At 53.9% G+C, this 21,960-nt stretch overlaps 1 protein-coding gene and 1 long non-coding RNA gene across 9 annotated transcripts in view, besides 10 other annotated features; both read right to left on the bottom strand.

Annotated features, from left to right (window-relative positions):
• The window catches only part of AGAP3 (ArfGAP with GTPase domain, ankyrin repeat and PH domain 3), a 58,568-nt gene extending 38,818 nt beyond the window's left edge, over positions 1 to 19,750 (bottom strand). For 6 of the 8 annotated variants that reach the window (NM_001350103.2, NM_031946.7, XM_047419870.1 and 3 more), the window contains exon 1: positions 18,545 to 19,142. Coding sequence is in view for 5 of the 8 variants with exons in the window: in NM_031946.7 (NP_114152.3) it covers positions 18,545 to 18,875 (331 nt within the window). In the remaining 3 variants the exon portion in view is untranslated. Of the gene's footprint in view, positions 1 to 18,544; positions 19,143 to 19,556 lie in introns of those variants that run through there. The other 2 variants (NM_001350104.2, NM_001281300.2) reach the window with 2 other exon arrangements.
• LOC124901778 (uncharacterized) lies at positions 492 to 16,614 on the bottom strand. Its single transcript, XR_007060595.1, has 2 exons — positions 15,452 to 16,614; positions 492 to 1,256 (listed from the first exon to the last, which is right to left on the bottom strand). It is a non-coding gene; the product is annotated as an uncharacterized LOC124901778 (long non-coding RNA).
• Positions 1,184 to 2,091: an enhancer, noted in NCBI's record as "NANOG-H3K27ac-H3K4me1 hESC enhancer chr7:150800613-150801520 (GRCh37/hg19 assembly coordinates)". NCBI's record gives its function as "activates a minimal SCP1, AML or CMV promoter by ChIP-STARR-seq in primed H9 embryonic stem cells {active_cell/tissue: H9 hESC(primed)}" and the evidence as "EXISTENCE:reporter gene assay evidence [ECO:0000049][PMID:30033119]".
• Positions 13,932 to 14,437: an enhancer, noted in NCBI's record as "H3K4me1 hESC enhancer chr7:150788267-150788772 (GRCh37/hg19 assembly coordinates)". NCBI's record gives its function as "activates a minimal SCP1, AML or CMV promoter by ChIP-STARR-seq in naive H9 embryonic stem cells {active_cell/tissue: H9 hESC(naive)}" and the evidence as "EXISTENCE:reporter gene assay evidence [ECO:0000049][PMID:30033119]".
• Positions 14,438 to 14,943: an enhancer, noted in NCBI's record as "H3K4me1 hESC enhancer chr7:150787761-150788266 (GRCh37/hg19 assembly coordinates)". NCBI's record gives its function as "activates a minimal SCP1, AML or CMV promoter by ChIP-STARR-seq in naive H9 embryonic stem cells {active_cell/tissue: H9 hESC(naive)}" and the evidence as "EXISTENCE:reporter gene assay evidence [ECO:0000049][PMID:30033119]".
• Positions 15,069 to 15,578: an enhancer, noted in NCBI's record as "H3K4me1 hESC enhancer chr7:150787126-150787635 (GRCh37/hg19 assembly coordinates)". NCBI's record gives its function as "activates a minimal SCP1, AML or CMV promoter by ChIP-STARR-seq in primed H9 embryonic stem cells {active_cell/tissue: H9 hESC(primed)}" and the evidence as "EXISTENCE:reporter gene assay evidence [ECO:0000049][PMID:30033119]".
• Positions 15,579 to 16,089: an enhancer, noted in NCBI's record as "H3K4me1 hESC enhancer chr7:150786615-150787125 (GRCh37/hg19 assembly coordinates)". NCBI's record gives its function as "activates a minimal SCP1, AML or CMV promoter by ChIP-STARR-seq in primed H9 embryonic stem cells {active_cell/tissue: H9 hESC(primed)}" and the evidence as "EXISTENCE:reporter gene assay evidence [ECO:0000049][PMID:30033119]".
• Positions 17,587 to 17,746: an enhancer, noted in NCBI's record as "active region_26851". NCBI's record gives its function as "activates an Ori minimal core promoter by ATAC-STARR-seq in GM12878 lymphoblastoid cells {active_cell/tissue: GM12878}" and the evidence as "EXISTENCE:reporter gene assay evidence [ECO:0000049][PMID:35858748]".
• Positions 17,967 to 18,236: a silencer, noted in NCBI's record as "silent region_18800". NCBI's record gives its function as "represses an Ori minimal core promoter by ATAC-STARR-seq in GM12878 lymphoblastoid cells {active_cell/tissue: GM12878}" and the evidence as "EXISTENCE:reporter gene assay evidence [ECO:0000049][PMID:35858748]".
• Positions 18,597 to 18,666: a silencer, noted in NCBI's record as "silent region_18799". NCBI's record gives its function as "represses an Ori minimal core promoter by ATAC-STARR-seq in GM12878 lymphoblastoid cells {active_cell/tissue: GM12878}" and the evidence as "EXISTENCE:reporter gene assay evidence [ECO:0000049][PMID:35858748]".
• Positions 19,033 to 19,122: a silencer, noted in NCBI's record as "silent region_18798". NCBI's record gives its function as "represses an Ori minimal core promoter by ATAC-STARR-seq in GM12878 lymphoblastoid cells {active_cell/tissue: GM12878}" and the evidence as "EXISTENCE:reporter gene assay evidence [ECO:0000049][PMID:35858748]".
• Positions 19,173 to 19,422: a silencer, noted in NCBI's record as "silent region_18797". NCBI's record gives its function as "represses an Ori minimal core promoter by ATAC-STARR-seq in GM12878 lymphoblastoid cells {active_cell/tissue: GM12878}" and the evidence as "EXISTENCE:reporter gene assay evidence [ECO:0000049][PMID:35858748]".

Genomic DNA, 21,960 nt, shown 5'->3' with positions numbered 1-21,960 from the left:
ATTTTTTTTCTTTTTTTTTTTTTTGTAGAGACGGGGTTTCCCTATGTTGCCCACAGTGGTCTCAAACTCCTGGCCTCAAGTGATCCTTCCACCTCAGCCTCCCAAAGTGCTGGGATTACAGGTGTGAGCCACCATGACTGGCATAATACTTGATTGTTTAAAAAGTCAGATACAAATTTGTATGTAACAAAATTATATGGACCTGTATAAAAAATGCAAGAAAATATCAAAATAATGACAAAATGGTGACCGTGGCTGCCTGCCTCTGGTTAGAATTACTGGTGACTTCTTTTGCTTCTTTTATGTTTTTCTGCAGTAAGTGTACATCACCCTGTTTTCTGAAATGTTTACAGACGATATATTACTTTGTAAAAAGAAACAGAAGACTGTTCCCCCTTGGAATGAGGAGAGGAAAATCCTCTGAGTCAGACTCTGAGGGGATACAGAGGAAGAACACAGGCTGTGGCTAGTATAAATGTGCACTCTGCCAATCTTTTTTAAATTTTATTTCAGGGTAAGAAAACATTCACAACATGCTCAGAAAACCACTGTTTTGGCCGCATGCCCTCTTCCCTCTCCTTAACACAGATGCGTCCTGAGTGACTGTCTTCCCAGCTCCTGCTCACGCTGCAGTTCACACCAAACCGCCCCGCCAGGGGCACCTGGGGCCCTCCCCAGGCCACTGGGTTGGCTCTAGCTTGCTCCGGTGGCCTGGCTTCATAGCATCTCACAGTATGCATGTTCTGTCCGTTCTTCAACCCTTCCCCTGCTGAGGGACAGTCACGTCACTTCCTTCTTTTTTAGCTACCACAAGCAAGGCGGTAATCAATACCTGTGTGCCTATGGTGTGTTCTTCCCGAGGCATGTGAATGCTTCATGTGAATGGATAACGCCGTTACTTTTCCAGGTTGGTCGTAGCAATCCCTTCTCCTGCTCTCCACCAGCCGTGGGTGGGGATGTCGGTGCACCCTGTGCGCCAGCAGTCTGCTCTTCCAACCGGGGAACCAGTCCCTGGCGCTTCTGATGGGCACGCCCCTGATTACTAGTGAGGTTGCGCCTTTTCATGTTCATCAGCAACACAAAGCATTTCCTCTTCTTTCATTTGTCTTGATCCTACTCTTTGCCTGTCTTTCTTTTCTTTTGGCCTGTTTTTCTCTTGGGTTTTTCAAATCGTTTTCTTAATCTGCAGGAGCTCTTCGTATAGCGGGCACGCAAAGCATGTATCCGGCACATGTGCACTGCAAGAGGTCCTCCTGCTTTATGACCCAGAAATGTAATTACATGTCTGCTAGTTTTGTCACTGGTTATAACATTTGAACAACAAAATCCATGACACAAGGGCGACACTAAAGATAAGAGTGGGAAGATGCTGCTCTTAACAGAACACTGGCTAATACTTACAGAAAGATTGTCGGGTTTACGGCCACCTTGACAATCCCGATATCACCAACTCAGGCAAAGATCATTGATGGACGCTAAAACCATCAGGTGAACAGTTGTGCGGGGCAGTTTATTTCGAGCGTGTGGAATGATCACCCCTACAGACTACTTACTAATTACAGAGGGAGGAAATGAACCTTCACATTGGAGAGACCCAGTCCTCACGCCCCCGCCACGGCACTAAGGCTGTGGTCCCGTGGAGGAACCGGGTGTTCCCGCTGAGCTTCCAGATCACAGTTCAGTTCAAAGACCCCACAAGGGAGAAAGGAACAAGACAGAAAACACCCAGCGCCAGCCAGCCCACGTCACGGTTCCAGGACTCGGGCCTTCTACAGGAAAATGGGTCCTGGCCCTACAATAAGTCCATGTCATGGGGGAAAAGGTATCACATTGGATCCTGTTTCATCCTTATCTAGGAAAACAAAAAAAGCTCTGTAAGACCTTTCAGGCATCGCTGGGGAAGTGTGGTTATGGGTCAGCTACTAAATATCAGGGAGCTCTTCTGACCTTCCTAGGTGCTATTCTGGTGTAATGGTTGTGTAGAATGATGTGCCTGTCCTCAGGAGATGCCTGCTGAAGAGCTTGGGAAGATGTGTCAGTGTGTCTACAACTGCTGAAAAAACATATGTGAGCATGAGGCAGTGACAGAGAGCCAGCAAATGCGGTAAAATGTTAATAATGATCACATTTTTAAATGCTGTCATTTTTCAAAATAAAAAGCTGGGGGTGGGGGGAATCTGTCAGTTTGTTCCTCTATAAATTCTGGGTTTTCTGTCCGCTTAAGAGGATCTCTCATCCCAAGATTAGACAACATTCTTCTAAATTTCTGCTCTGTTTTTAAAGGTCTTATCTTTCTCCCTGTGCATAAAGGTGGCAGCACAGGCTCCAAAGCCAGACTTCCTGGGTACAGGTCCTGTCTCCACGATTTGAATGAGCAGCCTTGGGCCATTTCCTTTACATCTGTGTACCTCAGTTTCCTCATCTGCAAAATGGGGTTAATACTACCCTGTAGGGATGCTCCAAAAATTGCAGGAATACGAGAAGGGCACGTAAGCACACAGGCAGTGCCTGGCACAGTATGAGAACTAAGAGAAAGGCATTCTTTCTTGTGTGTGTTTTTTCAGAGGCAAGGTCTTCCTAAATATAGTCCAAGCTGGAGTGCAGTAGCACAATCATAGCTTATCTAACTGCAGCAGCCTCCCATGTGGCTGAGACTACAGGTGTGTAACACCACACCTGGCTAATTTTTAAAAATTTTTTGTAGCGGCTGGGTGAGGTGGCTCATGCCTGTAATCCCAGCACTTTGGGAGGCCGAGGGAGATTGCTTGAGCCCAGGAGTTCGAGACCAGCCTGGGCAACATGGAGAAACCTCGTCTCTACTAAAAATAGAAAAATTAGCTGGGTGTGATGGTGTATGTCTGCAGTCCTGGCTACTTGGGAGGCTGAGGTGGGAGGATCACCTGAGCCTGGGATGCAGAGGTTGCAGTGAGCTGAGATCACACCATGACACTGCGCTCCAGCCTGAGCCACAGAGCGAGACCCTGTCTCAAAAAAAAAGAAATTTTTTTTTTTTTTTTTGTAGAGACGAGGTATCACTATGTTGCCTAGGCTGGTCTTGAACTCTTTTAGGCTCAAGTGATCCTCCTGCCTTGGCTTCTCAAAGTGCTGGGATTACTTGCGTGAGCAACCACACTACCATTCTTTCTGAGATAGCAGATCTGGTCCTGCTGTCCCTGGCTTAGAACCTGTAACTCCTGTCACCCACAGCAGAAGCTGTCAATCTTGTGACATTTGCAGCACAAACACAAAGTGCTGGAGTGTGGGGTGGCGCGTTTGAGTAGTTTGAAAACATACTACGCCAGTGATTTTAATAATAAAAGCACTACTGCGGTGAAGCCATGTCTAGCAGTACCTACTGGGCTGCAGGCTCACCGGAGCTCTGGGCCGCTGTCCTCGTGCCCCAGGCCACTGCGCAGAAACCTGCTCGCCACCCTCAGCACATGCTCTGAGGATGCTCCTGAGTCGAGATGCTTTGCTTTTCAGTCAGCTGATTTTCCCTTGGTGCCAGGCCCGTCTCCCACTCAGAGCAAAGGGACTGCACCTCGAGGACACCCACACGCCCCACTCCCAGCCTAAGCAGGCTGTCATCTGCACCTCTGCTTTATTTTACCCTTGCTCAAGTTTTGGGGTCACCTGGGAAGGAAGGGCTCATGGCACCACTGCCCCCAGGTTCAGAACTCACCTCTGCCAGCCCTCACCCCCGCATGGCTCCCCTCACCCAGGCGCACCGGCCCACCTTTGCCTTCCAGGAACAGAGGGACGGGAGGCAGATTCTCTCTCACCCCGAGGCCTGGGGTGGGAGATGATTCTCTCCCGGCCTCCCGAGACCCTGGCTTCCTGCCCCGTTGAACTGGCTCCCTGGGAGGTTCGGCCTATCCTGGGCCCCTCCTCTGCGGCAGATGCCAGGTTCCCTGCTCACTTCCTCCCAGCCTCTGTACTGCTACCCAGGCGTGTGTCTCAGCCAGGCCTATGGGACTATGGCCTCTTGGCTGTGGTGGGCACAGGGAGGGAGGCGCCCACACTCTGGGGCTTTGCTCACGGGCAGGACACCGGGTTTCCCACAGTCTCCTGAGTCCTGGCTTCCACCCCTCGAGGGCACTCAATGCCCCACCAGCCTCTTCCCAGCCACCTGGGCACCCCTGATGAGTGCCAGCAGCTTGAGACCTTTAGGAACCCAGGCAAGAGGCTCCTACACAGACCTGATCCTGATATCCCTGCCAACAGGGAGGGCATGAGTCAGGATACACCCGCCTCAGAAGGAGACCATCCAGCCACCATAATGGCCTGTCCCCTCCAGCCCAGGAGGAGATAGCAATGCACGGGTCCCTGCAAGCTGCTTCCTCAAGTGCCTGCCTGACAGCCATTCCCCCACCAGCCCAGGAGGGGCCCTGTGGACCCACTACAGAAGTAAGGAGGCTCCTTGGTGGCTCAAGCACTCATGGGGCCGGGCCTGGTGCTGGGCTGGGGACCCGGGGATGGCTGGGCAGTTCCACTTGGGCTCAGGGCTCAACATCCATCAGGGAGGTGGTGAGTGATGCGGACGCCAGGATTGACGCGTGCCAGCGGGGGAGGTGGCGGCTGCTCCAGGCCATGGGGGACCTGAAGGTGGTTGGAACCAGCTGAGCTCCATGGGGGGCTGCAGGTGGGACAGGCACCCACCCACCAGGCCAGGGCTGCAGGGAGAGCAGAGTCGGCCAGGCAGGGTCCTGTGATGGGGGCAAGGAGTCCTGACAGAGCCAGGTCTATTTATTATTATTATTTTATTATTATTTTTTGAGACAGTGTCTCACTCTGTCTTCCAGGCTAGAATGCAGTGGTGCAATCTCAGCTCACTGCAGCCTCAACCTCCTGGGCTCAGGCGATCCTCGCACCTCAGCCAACTGAGTAGCTGGGACTACAGGCGTGCACCACCACACCCAGCTAATTTATGTATTTATTTTTGTTTTCTGTAGAGATGAGGTCTCACTGTGTTGCCTATGCTGGTCGTGAACTCCTGGACTCAAGCGATCCTCCTGCCTTGGCCTCCCAAAGTGCTGGGACTACAGGTGTGAACCACTGTGCCCGGCCCGGCCTTAATTTTGTTTTTATAAGGGTGCTAATTACTCGATAGCCAGGTTTACACCGCAGCTTGCTGAGCAATCCCGACACTGGCGTAGCTGCTGGGAGAGACAGCAGCCTTCCCATGTGAAGTGGAACGCGACACATCTCTTAGGGGCTGCTGTACGGCTCAGGACCCACACAGAGAAGTGCAGGGCACAGAGCAGGCTCAGGTGGCACCTCACACCAAGCCTCTCCCAGGCATGGAAGCCAGGAGGGTTCTTGGTGCTCCACAACCAGCCCGGGATGTGATGAGAATCTAGTAACATGGGTTCAGGACGGCATCTCCCTCCAAAACAGCACCGCAGCTGGGGGAGCACGAAATCCCCACAAGACCCTCTCGGAGTTGGGCTCAGGACACCCCATCTGAGACGCCACAAAGGGCGCACTGCAGGCAGGGGCTGCCCCCTGCAGCCTGTCCTCAGGCTCCCACAAAGCCCCGGGTCCTTCCCGACATTCACAAGAGCGGGTAGGAAGGGATCCGTCACTGACTGCTGCAGCACCGCGGGCTCTTCCCAGCACAGTCCATGAGCACCTCATTTCCAGGGTGGGGGCTCTCCCTGTTTCTCAGCCAGGAAGTGGGCGGAGAGACAGGGAGCTTCCCTCTGTGCAACACAGTTTCCAAGAGTCCGTGTGTGTTTACAAACTTTCTGCTATTACATATATTACTTAGTATGGGACAAACACAAACAAACAAACAAAAAAAACCTTACAAAAATGGCCCCTGCCTAAAATGCCAGGATGGGGTGAGGAAAGACTGTGGCTTTGCTGACTGAGGCCTCTGACCCACGGTCCCGAGGGAAGCCCCTAGCAGGTGGTCAAGATGCTGACTGACAGCGGCCAGCGGCCCGGTCCCGGTGCCAGTCCCCGGGCCCACATGCACTTCATCTCATAAGAGCAGGGCCTGGGCTCCACCCTCCCACCTGGCACAGGACCCAAGGTGGGAACACGAGTGCCCCTTAACATGAACACACTTTGTCACCCACCACACACAACAACAGTTGTACTTCTAGGTTTTAAGAAAACACACAGGGACAAAAGACTACTGTGAATTCAGCAAGACTTTTAAATGGATTTGTCTGCTGTCAATCACCACAGCCTAGGTGGGTGCTCGACAAAGAAGTATTTGTTATGTGACTGAGAAGGGCACATTATTCTGATTTTTTTTTTTTTTTTTGAGATGGAGTCTCACTCTGTCGCCCAGGCTGGAGTGCAGTGGCGTGATCTCGGCTCACTGCAAGCTCCGCCTCCCGGGTTCACACCATTCTCCTGCCTCAGCCTCCCGAGTAGCTGGGACTACAGGCGCCCGCCACCATGCCCGGCTAATTTTTTGTATTTTTAGTAGAGACGGGGTTTCACTGTGTTAGCCAGGATGGTCTCGATCTCCTGACCTCGTGATCCGCCTGCCTCGGCCTCCCAAAGTGCTGGGGTTACAGGCGTGAGCCACCGTGCCCAGCCCTGAATTTTTAATATAATCTTTTGAAAAGTTGAATAGATGGCTCACACCTATAATCCCAGCGCTTTGGGAGGCCAAGGTGAGTGGACTGCCTGTGGTCAGGAGTTCGAGACCAGTCTGGCCAACATGGTGAAACCCCGTCTCCACTAAAAATACAAAAAAATTAGCCGGCTGTGGTGGCATGCACCTGTAATCCCAGCTACTCGGGAGGCTAAGGCAGGGGAATTGATTGAACCAAGGAGGTGGAGGTTGTTAGTGAGCCAAGACTGCACCACTGCACTCCAGCCTGGGTGACACAGCAAGACTGTCTCAAAAAAAAAAAAAAAAAAAGAAAAGAAAATTGAATCAAAGAGGATACACTTCAGTATTCAATTTTTACAACCAACAGGCATTTGTTATTTATTTATTTTTAAACAGACTGGTCTTGCTCTGTCGCCCAGGCTGGAGTGTAGTGGTGTGATCACGGCTCACTGCAGCCTTGACTCTGGGTTCAAGCAGTCCTCTCACCTCAGCCTCCTGAGTAGCTGGGACTATAGGCGCACGCCACCACACCTGGCTAATTTTTTAATTTTTTTTTGTAGAGACAGCGTCTCACTATATTGCCCAGGTTGGTCTCAAGTGATCTGCCCACCTTGGCCTCCCAAAGTGGCACCCAGTCCCATGTGTTATCTTTGTGTATATGTGTGTGTTTGTATGTGTGTGTGTGTGCCAGGGTCTCCCTCTGTCGCCCAAGCTGAAGTGCAGTGGTGCAATCTCAGCTCACTGCAACCTCTGCCTCCCAGGTTCAAGCAATTCTCCTGCCTCAGCTTCCGGAGTAGCTGGGACTGGAGGCATGCGCCACCATGCCTGGCTAATTTTCCTATTTTTTGTAGAGACAGGGTTTCGTCATGTTGGCCAGGCTGGTCTTGAACTCCTGACCTCAACTGATCTGCCTGCCTCGGCCTCCCAAAGTGCTGGGATTACAGGTGTGAGCCACCGCGCTTGGTCCCATTTGTTATCTTATAGGCTATAAATCAGAGCTATTCTTCAACACCATAGCCACTGGCCTGGTATGGCCAGGGGGCACTGCAAACATGGCCAGTCCCATGCGGAGGCGCTGGGTGTCAATACCAAGTGGAGTGTGAAGACGTGGTATGAACAGAAGAACATAAAAATATCTTATTAATAGATATTTATATATTAATAGATTTCATGCTGAAATGAGAATATTTTTGATATGGTCTGGATGTGTGTCTCCTCCAAATCTCATGTTGAAATGTGATCCCCAGTGTTAGAGGTGGGGCCTGGTGGGAGGGTGTTTGGGTCATGGGGCCAGGTCCCTCATGAGTGCTGTCCCCACTGCGGCTGTTGAAGAGTGTAGCGCCCTCCCTGTCGCTCCCACTTCCACCATGTGACTTCCTATTCCTGCTTTGCTTTCTGCCACCCGTAAAAAGCTCCCTGAGGCCTCCCCGGAAGCACAGCAGATGCTAGCACCACCTTCCTGCACAACCTGCTGAACTGTCAGCCAATTAAACCTCTTTTCTTTTTCTTTTTTTTTTTTTTTTTTGAGACAGAGTCTCACTCTGTCGCCCAGGCATAATCTCAGCTCACTGCAACCTCCGCCTTCTGGGTTCAAGTGATTCTCCTGCCCCAGCCTCCTGAGTATCTGGAATTACAGGTGCCCACCATCAGGGCTGGCTAATTTTTGTATTTTTTAGTAGAGGCCGGGTTTCACCATGTTGGCCAGGCTGATCTCAAACTCCTGACCTCAGGTGATCCACCTGCCTCGGCTTCCCAAAGTGCTGGGATTACAGGTGTGAGCCACAGTGCCCGACCTAAACTTCTTTTCTTTACAAATTATCCAGCCTCAGGTGTCTCTTTATAGCAACATAAGAACTTATACAATTTTGAATATACTGGGTTAAATAAAATATATTAAAATTAATCTCACTTTTAAAAAATCTTTTTAATATGGCTACTTGAAAATTGAAAATCAGGCCGGGCGCGGTGGCTCACTCACGCCTGTCGTCCCAGCACTTTGGGAGGCCAACGTAGGCAGATCACCTGAGGTCAGGAGTTCGAGACCACCCTGGCCAACATGGTAAAACCCCGTCTCTACAAAAAATACAAAAATTAGCCAGACATGGTGGCATGTGCCTGTAATCCCAAGGCATGTGCCTTGGGAGGCTGAGGCACGAGAATTGCTTGAACTCGGGAGGCAGAGGTTGCAGTGAGCTGAGATCATACCACTACACTCCAGCCTGGGAAACAAAGCAAGACTCTGTCTCGTTAAAGAAAAGAAAAGAAAATTTAGGCCAGGCGCAGTGGCTCATGCCTGTAATCCCAGCACTTTAGGAGGCTGAGGCGGGTGGATCACGAGGTCAGGAGATCGAGACTACCTTGGCTAACGCGGTGAAACCTCGTCTCTACTAAAAATACAAAAAATAAGCCGGGCGTGGTGGTGGGCACCTGTAGTCCCAGCTACTCGGGAGGCTGTGGCAGGAGAATGGCGTGAACCTGGGAGGCAGAGGTTGCAGTGAGCCGAGATCGCGCCACTGCACTCCAGCCTGGGCGACAGAGCGAGACTCCACCTCAAAAAAAAAAAAAGAAAAGAAAATTTAAGTTCACACGTGTGACTCGCCCATGTCTACTGCACAGTGCTGAATCAGAGAAAAAAACAACAGGCAAAACATCAAAGATGACCCTGGGTGTTCACGGGAACGTGCAGGCCCTGTGACAGCCCTGCCCCCTCAGGTCCCTTCCCCTGGGCCTGGATGAGCTAAACCAACGTACCCCACACTCTGCCACCTGGGCTCTCAGGCTCGGGTCCGGAAATGGTCATTCCTGTGATCTCATGCAGCCCTCACCTCACGCATCCCCACGCAGGCGGTGATGACAGCTGAGCCTCTGAGACAAGTAATGAGACAGTCGCCACCCAGCACGCACATCCTCAGGGCAGCTGCTGCTCTAAAAGCTCTGCAGACGTTAACTGATTTGCTTCTCACGCCCACACCATGAAACGGATGCCCATGTTTTACCAATGGCGAAGCTAAGACACAGAGGGGTTAAGGAACTCACCCGAGGTCACACAGCTCCCAAGTGGTAGGTCTGGGACTCAAATCTAGGCAGCCTGGCTCCAGAGCCCAGGTGCTTAACCTCTATTCTATTCAGGCCCTGAGAGAAGAAATGAAGGCCAGGCTTCATTCCACATCACCCAATATAGAACCATCCAGAACAATCTAGAAGTAATAATGGGGTGGCAGGGGGGCAGGGGGTGCTGCCTCAGAGTGATGGAAAGCCTCCAAAACGTCCCAACTCTTCTCAAACAAAGGCTCTGGGGCTTGCCTTTCTGGTATCTTTTTTTTTTTTTTTTTTTTTTTTTTGTACAACTGTGATTGGACAAGACATTTAGAGCATCTTTAACCAAAACCTCCTCCAGGCACAGAAGTGCCATCCACCAGTGCCTGGAAAAACCCAGGCCCAGGAAGGGGTGGGGATCCCAGCAGAAGCAGAGCAGAGATCCCTGGAGGGGTCTAGACTTTTCGGTCCTCCCTCTGCCCCTGTGACAGGCTTTGATCCCACTCCAGGCGCTGGGGTTTCAGGTTTGCAAGCCATCAAAACACCAAACTGAAAAGGCTAAAGGGAAGCTGCTGTAGGCAGGCACCCCTACGGCGGTAAGGAGGGGTTCTGGCAGAAAAGGAACAGGCACAAAGCCCTAAGGTACAGCCATCTGGGGCTACGGTATGGAGCGGGCACAGCCAGCCTCAGCCTCCTGGGTGGCCCAGAGGATGGCACTGTCTGCTCAGCTCAGGGCACATTGAGGCCGAAGTGCTGACTATGGGAACTCAGACAGTGCCTGACTTGCAGCAAACAGAGAAATGTACGTTGTAGAAAAACCTACATTAAAAGAGATTAAAACGGTCTTCAGCTCAATAAGAAAAAGTAACATTGGGAGGTGGAGGCAGGAGCATCACTTGAGGCCAAGAGTTTGAGACCAGCCTGGGCAACACAGACCCTGACTCTACAAGACAATTTTAAAAATTATTAGCCAGATGTGGTGACACATGCCTGAGTCCCAGCTACTCAAGAGGCTGAGGTGGGAGGATTGCTTGAGCTTAGGAATTTGAAGTTGCAGTGAGCTACGATCGCGTCACTACACTCCAGTCTGGGTGACAGACCAATATTCTGAGGAAGGAAGGAAGGAAGGAAGGGAGGAAGGGAGGAAGGGAGGGACAGAGGGAAGGAGGGAAGGGAGGGAGGAAGGGAGGGGAGGCCAGGCATGGTGGCTCACACCTGAAATGCCAGCACTTTGGGAGGTGAGACGGGAAGATCACTCGAGGCCAGGAGTTTACAGCCAGCCTGGGCAACATAGTGAGACCCCATTTTTACAAAAAGAAAAAAGAAAAAGAGGAACAAACCAAAAGTAAAATGAATAAAGGATATGTACAGAATGAACAAAATGCAAATGACCTCTCAAAAATGTTTTAATATCAACTCTCACTAATAGTCAAAGTGAATCCAATAATGAAATAGCTAGTGATCAACTAGTAATCAAAGTCAAACAAAGTAAAACAACGAGAGTCATTTAGTCTTTTTTTTTTTTTTCTTACGTATCAGATGAAGAAGGGGTGCCGGGGAAGTGGGGCAGGGAACTCCAGGCTGTCTCTATGCCTGAAAATCAAATGGCCTTTCTGGAGGGCAGGGTGCCAGAGTGCCGCAAACGTCCTAAAAATGTGCCGACCCCAGAGTCTGACCATTTTCTTCTGAAAATTTGTCCAAAAGCAATAACGAGACAAGCGTACAAGGCGGCACGTAATAAACAGCATTCCCTTACACAGGATACCCTGCCGCCTTTCAGAATAATGCCTGATATTTCACCTGTGCTTATGACACGCTAGGCACTGTTCTAAGCACACCGCGTTGGGGGTCTCAATCCTCAGCACTACCAAGCGGCAGAGCTTTGTTATGACCCACCTCAGGTAAGGAAACAGAGGTACAGAAAATCTCACCTCTCCCCACAGGATCTCTTCTGATTCTCAGCTCCTGGAGGGCTCCAAGGGGGGCGCATCTCAAAGTGCTGCATGACAGAGGCAGCCTCAGAACAGATCTCAGGGACCCCAGCTCAGGTGCTCACTTGACAGACAAGACCCCCGGCCAGGGAGCCAAGCCTGGCCTGTTCCAGATACTCACGCCAGGGTCACCCCTAGCTGCATAGACAACCAGAATGTGACTCTCAGAAGACGCACCCAGAGCAGACTTGCCCCAGCTCTCACAGCCAGTTAGTGGCAGAGCAGGGACGGGAACCCAGGTATCCTGACTCCCAGCCTAGGAGCTGCCAAATACGCAAATGAACACGGGAGCCTCCTTTTGTGAATCTCCGGCTCCCCTTCTCCCAGCAAAGCATTTTCCACAACAATCCCACGTTTGCTGCGAAAGCCTAGTAACAGCAAATCCAGCAAAGAGTCGTTAATAGAAAAAAGACCAGAAGGATGCACATCCGACTGCTCACCACAGATCCTCCCAGGAGAGGGGAGGCCGGGCAGCCACCTTCCTACTTCTACATTTGAATGGCTTGTAACAAGCATGTATTTACTTTCATCCCTTAAACACATTAAAATGAAATTTAAATTAAATACATATTTGGGCACGGACGTGGTGGCTCATGCCTGTAATCCCAGCACCTTGGGAGGCCGAGGTGGAAAAATTGCTTGAGTCCAGGAGTTCAAGACCAGGCCAAACAACATAGCAAGACCCCATCTCTACAAAGAATGAAAAAATTAGCTGGGTGTGCTGGTGCATATTTGCAGTCTCTGCTACCTGGGAGACTGAGGTGGAAGATCGCTTGAGCCCAAGATTTTGAGGCTACAGTGAGCTAGGACTGCACCACTGCACTGCAGCCTGGACAACAGAGGGAGACCCTGTCTCCAAAAATATATATACACACACATATACATACATATAATACATACATACATATATATGTTTCTTGAGCAAGCATCTGTCTATTGTACGCTACATCCGTGCTACCCATGGGAGACAGACGCCTCAGAGAGCCACCATTCAATTCAGTTGGGGATTGAAGACGTCCAGAAGAAAATTATAGTGGGGAGCAGAAGAAAATTATAGTAGGGAGCAGGAGGCCTAATTCACCCTAAAATTATATTCTAAAGGCTTCCAAGAGTTAAACTCTGGTCCATTTGACTCCCATAAAGTTTCCTGTAGAAGCAGCTTTTAAGGGCTGATGTGGTGTGGCCAACAACACTTATTCAGCCCATACATGCAAGGCAAACCACAGAGACCTGGAGTTGGAGAACCAGAGAAAATCCCTGCTTCCTCCCCTCACTGCGTGGCTTCAGGAAAGTTACTTAATCTAGGTCCTAGGCTGTCTCACTTGTGAAATGGAAATACTTGCAAATCCAAAAAAGACCCTCCTCTGGGAAAATAAACTATGAGATGCAAAGTGTTGCAAAGCCTCATTCCAACCCCCAGCAGTGAGCCTGGCAGAGGGAAGAACATTCACGGGTGGAACATGCACCACCCAATCTCTGCGCCCTCAAAGCACGTGGCTGGGCTCACCCCCCTTCCCTACCTCAACTCTGCGCTCCAAAATAAGCTCCCTTACCACTTGGCCTGCAATGGTTTAAGTCAGCTAGGGGTCAGGAGGAAAGCATCAGATTAAACTAATTTCCAGTTACCTGCATATTAAAAAGAAACTAACACAACAGGTGGATGTTTAGGCAATGCCACACACGGACATGGGAGTTCTTACGGGGGTGTCTGTCTCCCCCCAGCCTTGGCTCTCCCAGGCTACACCTGCTTTCCAAGAAGCGTACCTCGTTCCCTCCACTTCTGGGCCAGGGACGCACTGACAGCTGGTAGGGGGCTCACAAGCACAAACGAGCGGTGTGGATGCTGGCGTGGCTCAAGCCTTCTCAAAGGCTTAAACGCTTGTGACGCCCATCTTTCGCAGAATGACGCACCAACTCCTGCGGTTTCTAGGAACACGGCAGGGTGGAAATAAATACTGGAGAAAGCATGAAATACTCCTTCACCAGGGTCCTGCCCACCTCACCCACCCATCTCCTACAACTCAACACCCGAGCTGCAGAGTCCAACTTGCCGTTCCGAGAGCCACACTATGTTCTCCTGCCTCCGTTATCTTCATCATCCTGTTTCCTCTATGTGGGAATCCTCCGGACCCCCAGGCCTGGCACACGTTTGAGGAAAGAAATAAATGATACAGGAAGATTGCCAGGTGGCATCATAGGGACAAGGACTGCTTCATCTGTGGGGTACCACTGCTGGGGAGAGCCAGAGCTGAGACCCTGGATGGAGCAGGGTACCAGGGGTTCCCACGAGGCCATGCAGCCTGAGATCAGGCTGGACAGGTCTTCCTGTTCTGGCTTCTGACCCGGAAGAAAGAAGTCGTGATGAGGTTTCCCAAGTCTCTGACCTTTGCCCTGCCCTGGTCTTCTGAAAATCTAGGTCTCCTTCTGGACTCCCAGTGCCTCTCTGGCACCTCCTACAGGCTGAGTCGTTCTCTCCAGGTGCACCAAGCCCAGACCTTCTGGCCCCTTCGCTCCCTGTCTCTCCTTTGATTGTCTGCTTTTCACTGTGCTAGATGCAACTGGGCCGCACAGTAGGAGCTAAATGAATGTATCTGGAACAAATGAAGCTTTCCCTGGCTACTAGCACCCACATGGTTATGCTCTTTTTCAGAATTGCTAGAACTCTTGCGAGCAAAGTCCTGCATAAGCAACCAGGCCCCCATGAGACACTCAGTCCCTAAACCAACGAATTGCCAGAGGGGCCTGGGCTGGCTCCAGATGCATGTCCCCGGCACCCATCCCAGACCCCCCCAGTCCTCATCTTTGAAGGGAACCTCAGCAGTGTGTGGTGCAGCAGGGCCCACGGCGGAATGCAGGGCCCGGCCAGGGAGTGCCCACCCAGGAACAGTAAGGAAAGCTCAAGAGAGCACCCTGGCACAAACATGGGGACCATCATGCCAGTCCTCCAGGATCAAGTCACAGGACGAACAGAAACAGACACAAACACTAAAACCCCAGGTGTGCCTAAGGGCTGAGGGCTGTGGGATGCCAGGGCGTATGCCGTTTTGTTTTGTTTTGTTTTTGTTTTTTTTTGAGACGGAGTCTTGCTCTGTTGCCCAGGCTGGAGTGCAGTGGTGCGATCTCAGCTCACTGCAAGCTCTGCCTCCCAGATTCACACCATTCTCCTGCCTCAGCCTCCCGAGTAGCTGGGACTACAGGTGCCCGCCACCACGCCCGGCTAATTTTTCGTATTTTTAGTAGAGACGGGGGTTTCACCATGTTAACCAGGATGGTCTCGATCTCCTGACCTCGTGATCCGCCCGCCTTGGTCTCCCAAAATGTTGGGATTACAGGCGTGAGCCACTGTACCCGGCCACATGCACCGTCTTACTCTCCCTCTGAGCTGCCACCCAACTGCAGTCACAGCTGTGGCCCCTTCTCTGTCTAGCTGAGGCTTGACCCAAACAAGAAACCCCCACATCTCTTTACCTTAGTCCCTTTAGGATGTCACCAAGCCCACAGCCCAGGGCAGGCAATCTGTGAACTGAATGAAAGTGAGTGGGGTAAGGGTGACAGTGAGAACGCTCTGCTGGCCAGGCCAGGCCGGCTGGAATGCTCGAAGTAACTGTTTAAAAAAAAAAAAAAAAAAAAAAAAAGCCCTAGTGGGAAAACGATGGAGAAACCTGAGTAAGTCACCCAGCTGACAAAGCCCAGCTCCGGCACACATAATAGTAGCCATATGGCACACACACCTAATAGTCAGGTCCACTTCCACTTCCAGGCGGGAGCCCCCCCCCCCCATCTGGGAACTGCCAGCAGGGATCCCAGGCCCTCCCCAAGCCCCTGCTCCTCCCCTGTGCCGGGCCCTCACCTGCACACAACGACTGGGACCAGCAGGTCCTGGAAAGATCCCGGGCTCCTTTGGGGCTCCTGGCTAGCTTGGTACAACATCCTGCGCTCCACGTGCCCAGTGTCCCCATTTGGACTGAGGCCCTCGTTCTCCTGCATCCCTCTTTCTAGGACTCAGCCAGGAAACCCAAGCTGTCAGGGAGCGCTCACTGCAGGTGAGTGCCAAGCCGGAAGCGGGCTCCTGTTGAAGGCCTATACTCTCCCTGGCTGTATCCGCTTGGCTCCCTCCCTTCTCTGAGCCTCAGTTTCCCCACTAGTGAGGTGAAGGTGGCTCAGAGGCTCTGCACATAGTGAGCCCTCCAGCTCTCCCTCCCAGCTGAAGGCTGTACTTCTTCCACTCCCTAAGGCCAAGTAATGGGCAGGTTTTCTCTTTCCTTGGCCTCTGGTGGGAAAGGAACTTTTCAAAATGGTCTCCCTCTCCTCAAATCCTGTCCTGAAACACAGGAAAGCCAAACATCCCCTGCTTCCTCCTGTCCTGGACACGGGGTCAGAAGTGACTGTGAGTGGCAGAGACTACAGGAGGCCCAAGTGCCCACTGCACTTCCTCAGAGCCAGATGGATCCTGACCGCAGGTCCCACGTCACCTTCAGAGCTGGGACAAACAAACCCTTCACCGAAGTCTAAACAGAGTGAGGGAGGCTTTGTTATACACTCGGAACTGCCGCCCCTTTCCACCGAGAGGCTTAGCCCCAGGAAACACAGGACCCGGCTCCCAGCTGACACTGTGTTTATGTAACAGCCTAGGTCTGTTCCGCCCTGGGGCTGGGGGTGGAGGGCTGGGTCTCAGTCCAGCCTCAGACTGTGCTCGGAAACGCCCAGGGAGTCTGCGCCTCTCCCTCCTCGCAGAAAGAAGGTGGGGACACCGCTTCGCAGGACAGAAGCAATATGGTTTGGCAGATGGAGAGGAGTTCTATCGCAGGAAGGATATAGGGCAGAAACTGGAGAAGGAGTGGTTTTTTTTTTCTTTTGAAGACTGCCTACAGCAGAAAAGTGGGAACGCAAGACGGGTGAGGTGGATAAAGATGACGGTGCCAGGAGAGGCTGGGCAGGGGGGAGGGAGGGACAGCAGGGCAGCAGGGCAGCAGGGCCCAGGAGTGGGAACAGCAGGGCTGAGAACGGATGTGTGAGCCGCGGCTGGGTCGGTCTGGTGACAGTGAGACACCGGCTCCCGGGATTTCACGAGGGTGAGGCCGAGCTTCCAGGCCTAGTAGACGGAACCATGGGGTATTTCCAAACCGCAATGGAGAAGTCGGTCAGGGGAGGGCTCTAGGAGGGGAAATTCTGCCTGTTGTGTTAAATTTAAGATCAGGCAAAAAAAACTCAAGGGCGCCCCAGGAATCAGCCTTCACATCACAAAAGATGCTCAACCAGAGGCTCCCCTGAGCTGGGGAGGAGGGGTCGCTGCTCATCAAGCTGGAGCCAGGGGAGCCCGGAAACCTCTCCCTGCTCTGGGAAAAGCTCGGAAGCAGATGTGCCCCCACCCTCCTGTGGCCGGCCCACGAGGCTTGTCGCCCTCCAGAAGGAGCTGGGGGAAGGTAAGCTTGGAGCAAATCAGGAATGTCTTTACTTCCTCCAAGGACAGTGAAGCTGCAGCAACGATGTCTCTCCCGCCTCCACCCTCTTCAGATCTAAGAGGAAAAATTGGTCATCTCCTGTCTTTGGGGCCCAGGGCTCGCACAAATGCCATCTCCTAGTCCCCAGCCACAGCGGTGATTCAGGCCATTTACTCAGATCCACGTTAATGAGTTTTTTCTGTCACCTAATTAGTTCACAGAGAACTCAGCCTTGAGAGGAAAGAAATAAGAACGGGTTGGGAAAAGGCAGAAGGAAGTCAGACTGGCATGTCACAACAAAAGATAGAACCCAGCACCACATGGGGTCCCCCCAGACCCAGTACTTCTTCCCCGGCTATGGGGACCTCTGAAAGCAGAAAGGGAGGTGTTCAGGTGCACTATCCCCCAGAACCTCAGGCAAGCAGATGAAGCTGGGAGTGGGGCCCTAACCTTAAGGCCCAAGTCAGGGACAGGCCCCTGCCCATAACTCCATGTTATCGCAAAAGGCCTTGGCTCTCACTGCATTTCCACTGAGGCCAAACCCACCACCTGCCGGTGGGCGTCCCCTTTCAAACAGAGCTGGGGGAGGAAGCAGATGGCCCAGGGTGAGGCCCATCTGTCCGTGCCCGCTCGAAGGTCACCATGCCACCGGGGTGCCTGCGGGTGCCTCCAGCACCCACCACACCAGGGCTTGCGAGGCATCTGCCAGCAGCGTGCCACCACTTCCTGTGCCCTCAGCGGTCGAAAGTCCAGGGCCTAAGGGCCCAGAGAAAAAAGCGCTAGGCAGCGCAGTGGCCGGGGGTTTCCGGTCCCCGACTCCGGGTGCGGTGTCCCTGGCGGTCGGTCAGCACCCGGCTGCCCAGCAGCTGCCTCCAGACCGAGGAGCCGCGGATCCCCGTCAGGCTCATGACCCGGCCAAAGCGCGGATGGACCTGCCGGCGCCTCCCACGCGGTCGCTGAGCCTCAGCCCAGCGCCAGGCCCGGCCCGCTCCCGCTTGGCCGCCGCGGCGTAGGGGGTGTGCGTCGGGAGAGGGCGCCGCGGCGAGCGCCACCCTCCGGGCCTGCGGGCGCTGGGCCCGGGAAGGCTGCCATCCACTAACGCGAGGCTCCGATCCCCCGCCCCACTGCGGAGCAGGGCCCGGGCAGCGGCTAAGAAGCCTCCCCGGTCACGACCCCACCTCCCCGCAGCTGAAGCCCTCTGCCGCGCCCACCTTCCCCGGCCAGGCCTGGACAGATCTGGTCCCGGCCCCCCCAAGCGACACCACCTTCGCGCCCTGGAACACAGTCAGCAGAAAACCCCCAACCCCAAAGTGTCCCCGAACGAGATATGGCGAAGCTGCCCGCCGGTTCTGCAACACAGATCGGCAAACCTCGTGGCCTGGTCCTCAAGCGCGCAAGGACCCCCGACAGGGAGAGCATGGCCAGGCACGGCCTGTGGAGCCCTCGGCCGGCGCCGGAGAGGCCACTGCGCCCCGGCTCCCGCAGCCCCCGGCTCCGCTCACCCTCGATGGAGATGACGTGCTCCCGGATCTGGTTCTGCAGCGCCAAATCCTCGATGCGCTCGATCAGGTCGTAGATGGCGTAGATATTGGGATGCACGGACTCGAAGCGCTGGATCTCGGCCCGGATGGCCGCGGAGTTGGAGAGCGCGAACTGCTGGGGGGGCCCGCCGGCCAGCTGCTGCGAGGGGCCGCCGCCGCCCCCGGCCCCGGGCCCCGCGCCGCCGAACTGCCCGCCGCAGACGAGCTGCTGCGCGGCAGCGCCGCCGCCCCCCGGAGCCGCCAGGCTCTGCTGCTGCTGCGGGCTCTGCCCCCCGCCCGCCTGGAAGTTCATGGCTTCGGAGCCGTGGGGCCCGAGGCGGGCCCGGGGCGGCGCGGCGGAGGCGGCGGCGGCGGCGGCGGCGGCAGCGGCGAGCGGGAGCGCGGGGCTGGCGGGGCCGGGACTACTGGGCTGGCGGCGCGGGGCTAGCGCATGGAGCCGGGGGCCGGGGGCCGGAGGCCGAGGCCAGGAGGCGCCGCCGCGCACGCTGTGGCCGCCGCTGCCGAGCGCTTCCCAGCGCCGTGATCCCGCTGCCTCGGAGCAGCCTCCAGCGGCAACAACAACGGGACCGGGAGCGCGCGGCCCAGGCCCTCCCCCCGCGTCATGCGCACGCACCGCCGCCCCCGCCGGCTCCGGCACACGCAGCCCGAGCCCCCCTCCCCGCCGCCCCCGCCCCTCCTGCGCGCCGGCCCGGGCGCCCCCGCCCCTCGCTCGCTCGCTGGCTCTGCAGCCTCCACCCCCGAGCCGCGCGCTCCAGCCCTGGCGCCCCGGCCCCTCCCACTCAGCCTCGGCCCTTCCGCCTCCTCACCAGCCCCCACCCGCATTGCCTCGAGGGCCACCCTCGCGGAGGGGACAGCTGCCCTGGTCTCCTCCCGCGCCCGGCTGTCGCTTTCGCCTCCCTGCGCTGATCTGGGCGGGGTGTCGGATCTCTAGGCAATGCCCAAACAGTGCCCTGCGCCTGAGGGTGCTGCTGACCGAGGCTGATTGGCCGAGGAGTCCGCCCAGGCCCAGCTGCTCCTCGCTTACAGCGTCCCGCCTTCAGTGCGGCATAGGCTCCCCTGTCCCCAGGCTCCGAGGTCAGCCCTAGAGACCACCCTGCTGCCGGAGTTTTCTCCCTGTCTCCCTGCCCAGGCTCTCCACTGCCGGCTGCAGCAGTGCTCTCCTAAAAGACCCTCCCCCTGCCGGACTTGGGAGATTAGCTAAATGCTACCCGACCCCATTGGTACATAGAGGAAGAAGAGGGAGGGATGAAATAGTATATGCCTTTCTCCCCTACTCATCCCATTGGAGAGACCAACCAAAGCCCACGTGGCTCTCAATTTTTCTTGTCCTCACCCCTTGTCCATCCTGTCCTTTCACTCCCTCTAGGGCCAGGGAGCTCCCTGAAATGTCCCAGTTCCTCTGCAGTCCCATTGCCAAAGTGGGCTGCAGTTCTGTTAGCCCCCTCCCCCCCACCAACACACACACGTTTCCTAAAACCTACAAGAGGTGACATTTGCAGAGGCCGCAGCCAATAAATCTGCCAGAGATGTTGCAGGGTATCTGCTACCCCCAGATATCCTAGGGCATCAGTGACACACATCGTCCTTCTTACGCACACTTCCACTTCCCTGGCCAAGCTGGATCTTTTCCCAGCATGAAGCTGTCCACTGTTTGATTACCCACACAACTCAGCCCCAGAACCAACCCAGTCACTATTCCCGAGTTCCTTGTACCTTCCAAAGCACCTGGTGCAAGCTAATCAACACACAGGGTCTCCTAAGCTCCTGAGGAACCTGTGTTTCTATCTCCCTGCATAAGCTTAAGGATATCTTGTGCCCTCTCTGGGTTTCATCTGCGAAATATAGTGGTTGAACATAAAACCTAGTTCTGATGTTGTATAATTCTAAAAGTAACATCCAACATCTCTTTTAGGTGCTTAATTAGAATTGACAGCAGGAAGTAGCACCAGGTATACCTCCCAAGAGAGACACTAAGAGCAAAGAGCTCCTCAAATGTGTTGCCCCAGCAACTAGCACACACGTGTTATAGCACTGTTGGGCTGTTCACACGTCTAGCTCTTCTACTAGTATATGGAGCCACATGAGGGCAGGAAGAGGGTCTGATTCACCATTTTATTCCCAGTATCTTGCACAATGCCTGGGATATAGTGTGTGTGTGTGTGTGTGTGTGTGTGTGTGTGTGTGTGTGTGTAATTTTTTTTGAGACGGAGTCTCACTCTGTCACCCAGGCTGGAGTGCAGTGACTCGATCTCAGCTCACTGCAACCTCCACCTCCCGCATTCAAATGATTCTCCTGCCTCAGCCTCCCGAGTAGCTGGGATTACAGGCGCCCGCCACCACGCCCAGCTAATTTTTGTATTTTTTTTTGTAGAGACAGGGTTTTACCATGTTGGCCAGGCTGGTCTCGAACTCAGTGATCCGCCTGCCTTGGCTCCCAAAGTGCCAGGATTACAGGCGTGAGCCACTGCGCCTGGCCATAGTACATCTTTTAAAAAATATGTTAGTAGAATAAATGAATGAACAGGAGGGATGGAACTAGAGGTAGGTTAGTTCTGTATGGTATCAATCTAGACTGACATTCCTAAGGCAATATTTGGGCCACTTGCTCCCACAGTAGGCAAGAACCATGGGAAGACTAGGATAGATTATTTTAAATCAAGACTGGCCTGTAAAAACCAGGATGTGAGATCTCTGTGGCTACAGGAGCCCAGAGGGAAAAATCCAGATATCCACAGGCCTGGGATTCAATGCCATCCACACAGTAACACACCAAAGACCCGACTCCTGAGACCAGGTTTGGGTGGAGGTGAGCGAATAGCTACTGTGTGACATGTACCTTAGTTTTTACACTTTTTAATAAAACATCTAATTTCTTCCTTATGATTGACTTACGAGGTGTGTTTTAGAGAGGAAGAAATTAATGTTCAGAGAGATTCAATAACCCACCCAAGGTCATATAGCTGAGAAGCACAAGATAAGGGATCAGGATTTCTGCCAGGTTCCAAGGTCTATGCTTCTTCCACAGCCCTGAAGGGGCTGTGGAGTCCCGAAGGTGGAGGAGGGGACCAAGGAAAGGGGCAGCCCTGAGGATGGGTATCCCTAGCCAGCCTGGTGGGGCAGCCCATGGATATTGGGCTCTGGGCTGAAGAATTAATTTTGGTGGCCAAAGTGCCTTCTGGCGTCCACTCTGACATAACAGTAGGGGCCACCTGAGTTCCTCAGAGCCTTCCACACTGCATCACGAACACGGGTACTCTGACGTGCTCCAGCTGACGTCGGTGTCTGGTGTGATAGATGCCCTGGCTGTTGGCAGGGGAGGGGGCGGACGCTGCTGCCGCCCAAACCTCTAGGGGGTAGCACAACCCCCAAAACCGCCC

The sequence above is a fragment of the Homo sapiens genome, chromosome 7 (assembly GCF_000001405.40).
Source record: "Homo sapiens chromosome 7, GRCh38.p14 Primary Assembly".
NCBI classification, from domain to species: domain Eukaryota; kingdom Metazoa; phylum Chordata; class Mammalia; order Primates; family Hominidae; genus Homo; species Homo sapiens.
This window is presented reverse-complemented; position numbering and strand designations above follow the sequence as displayed.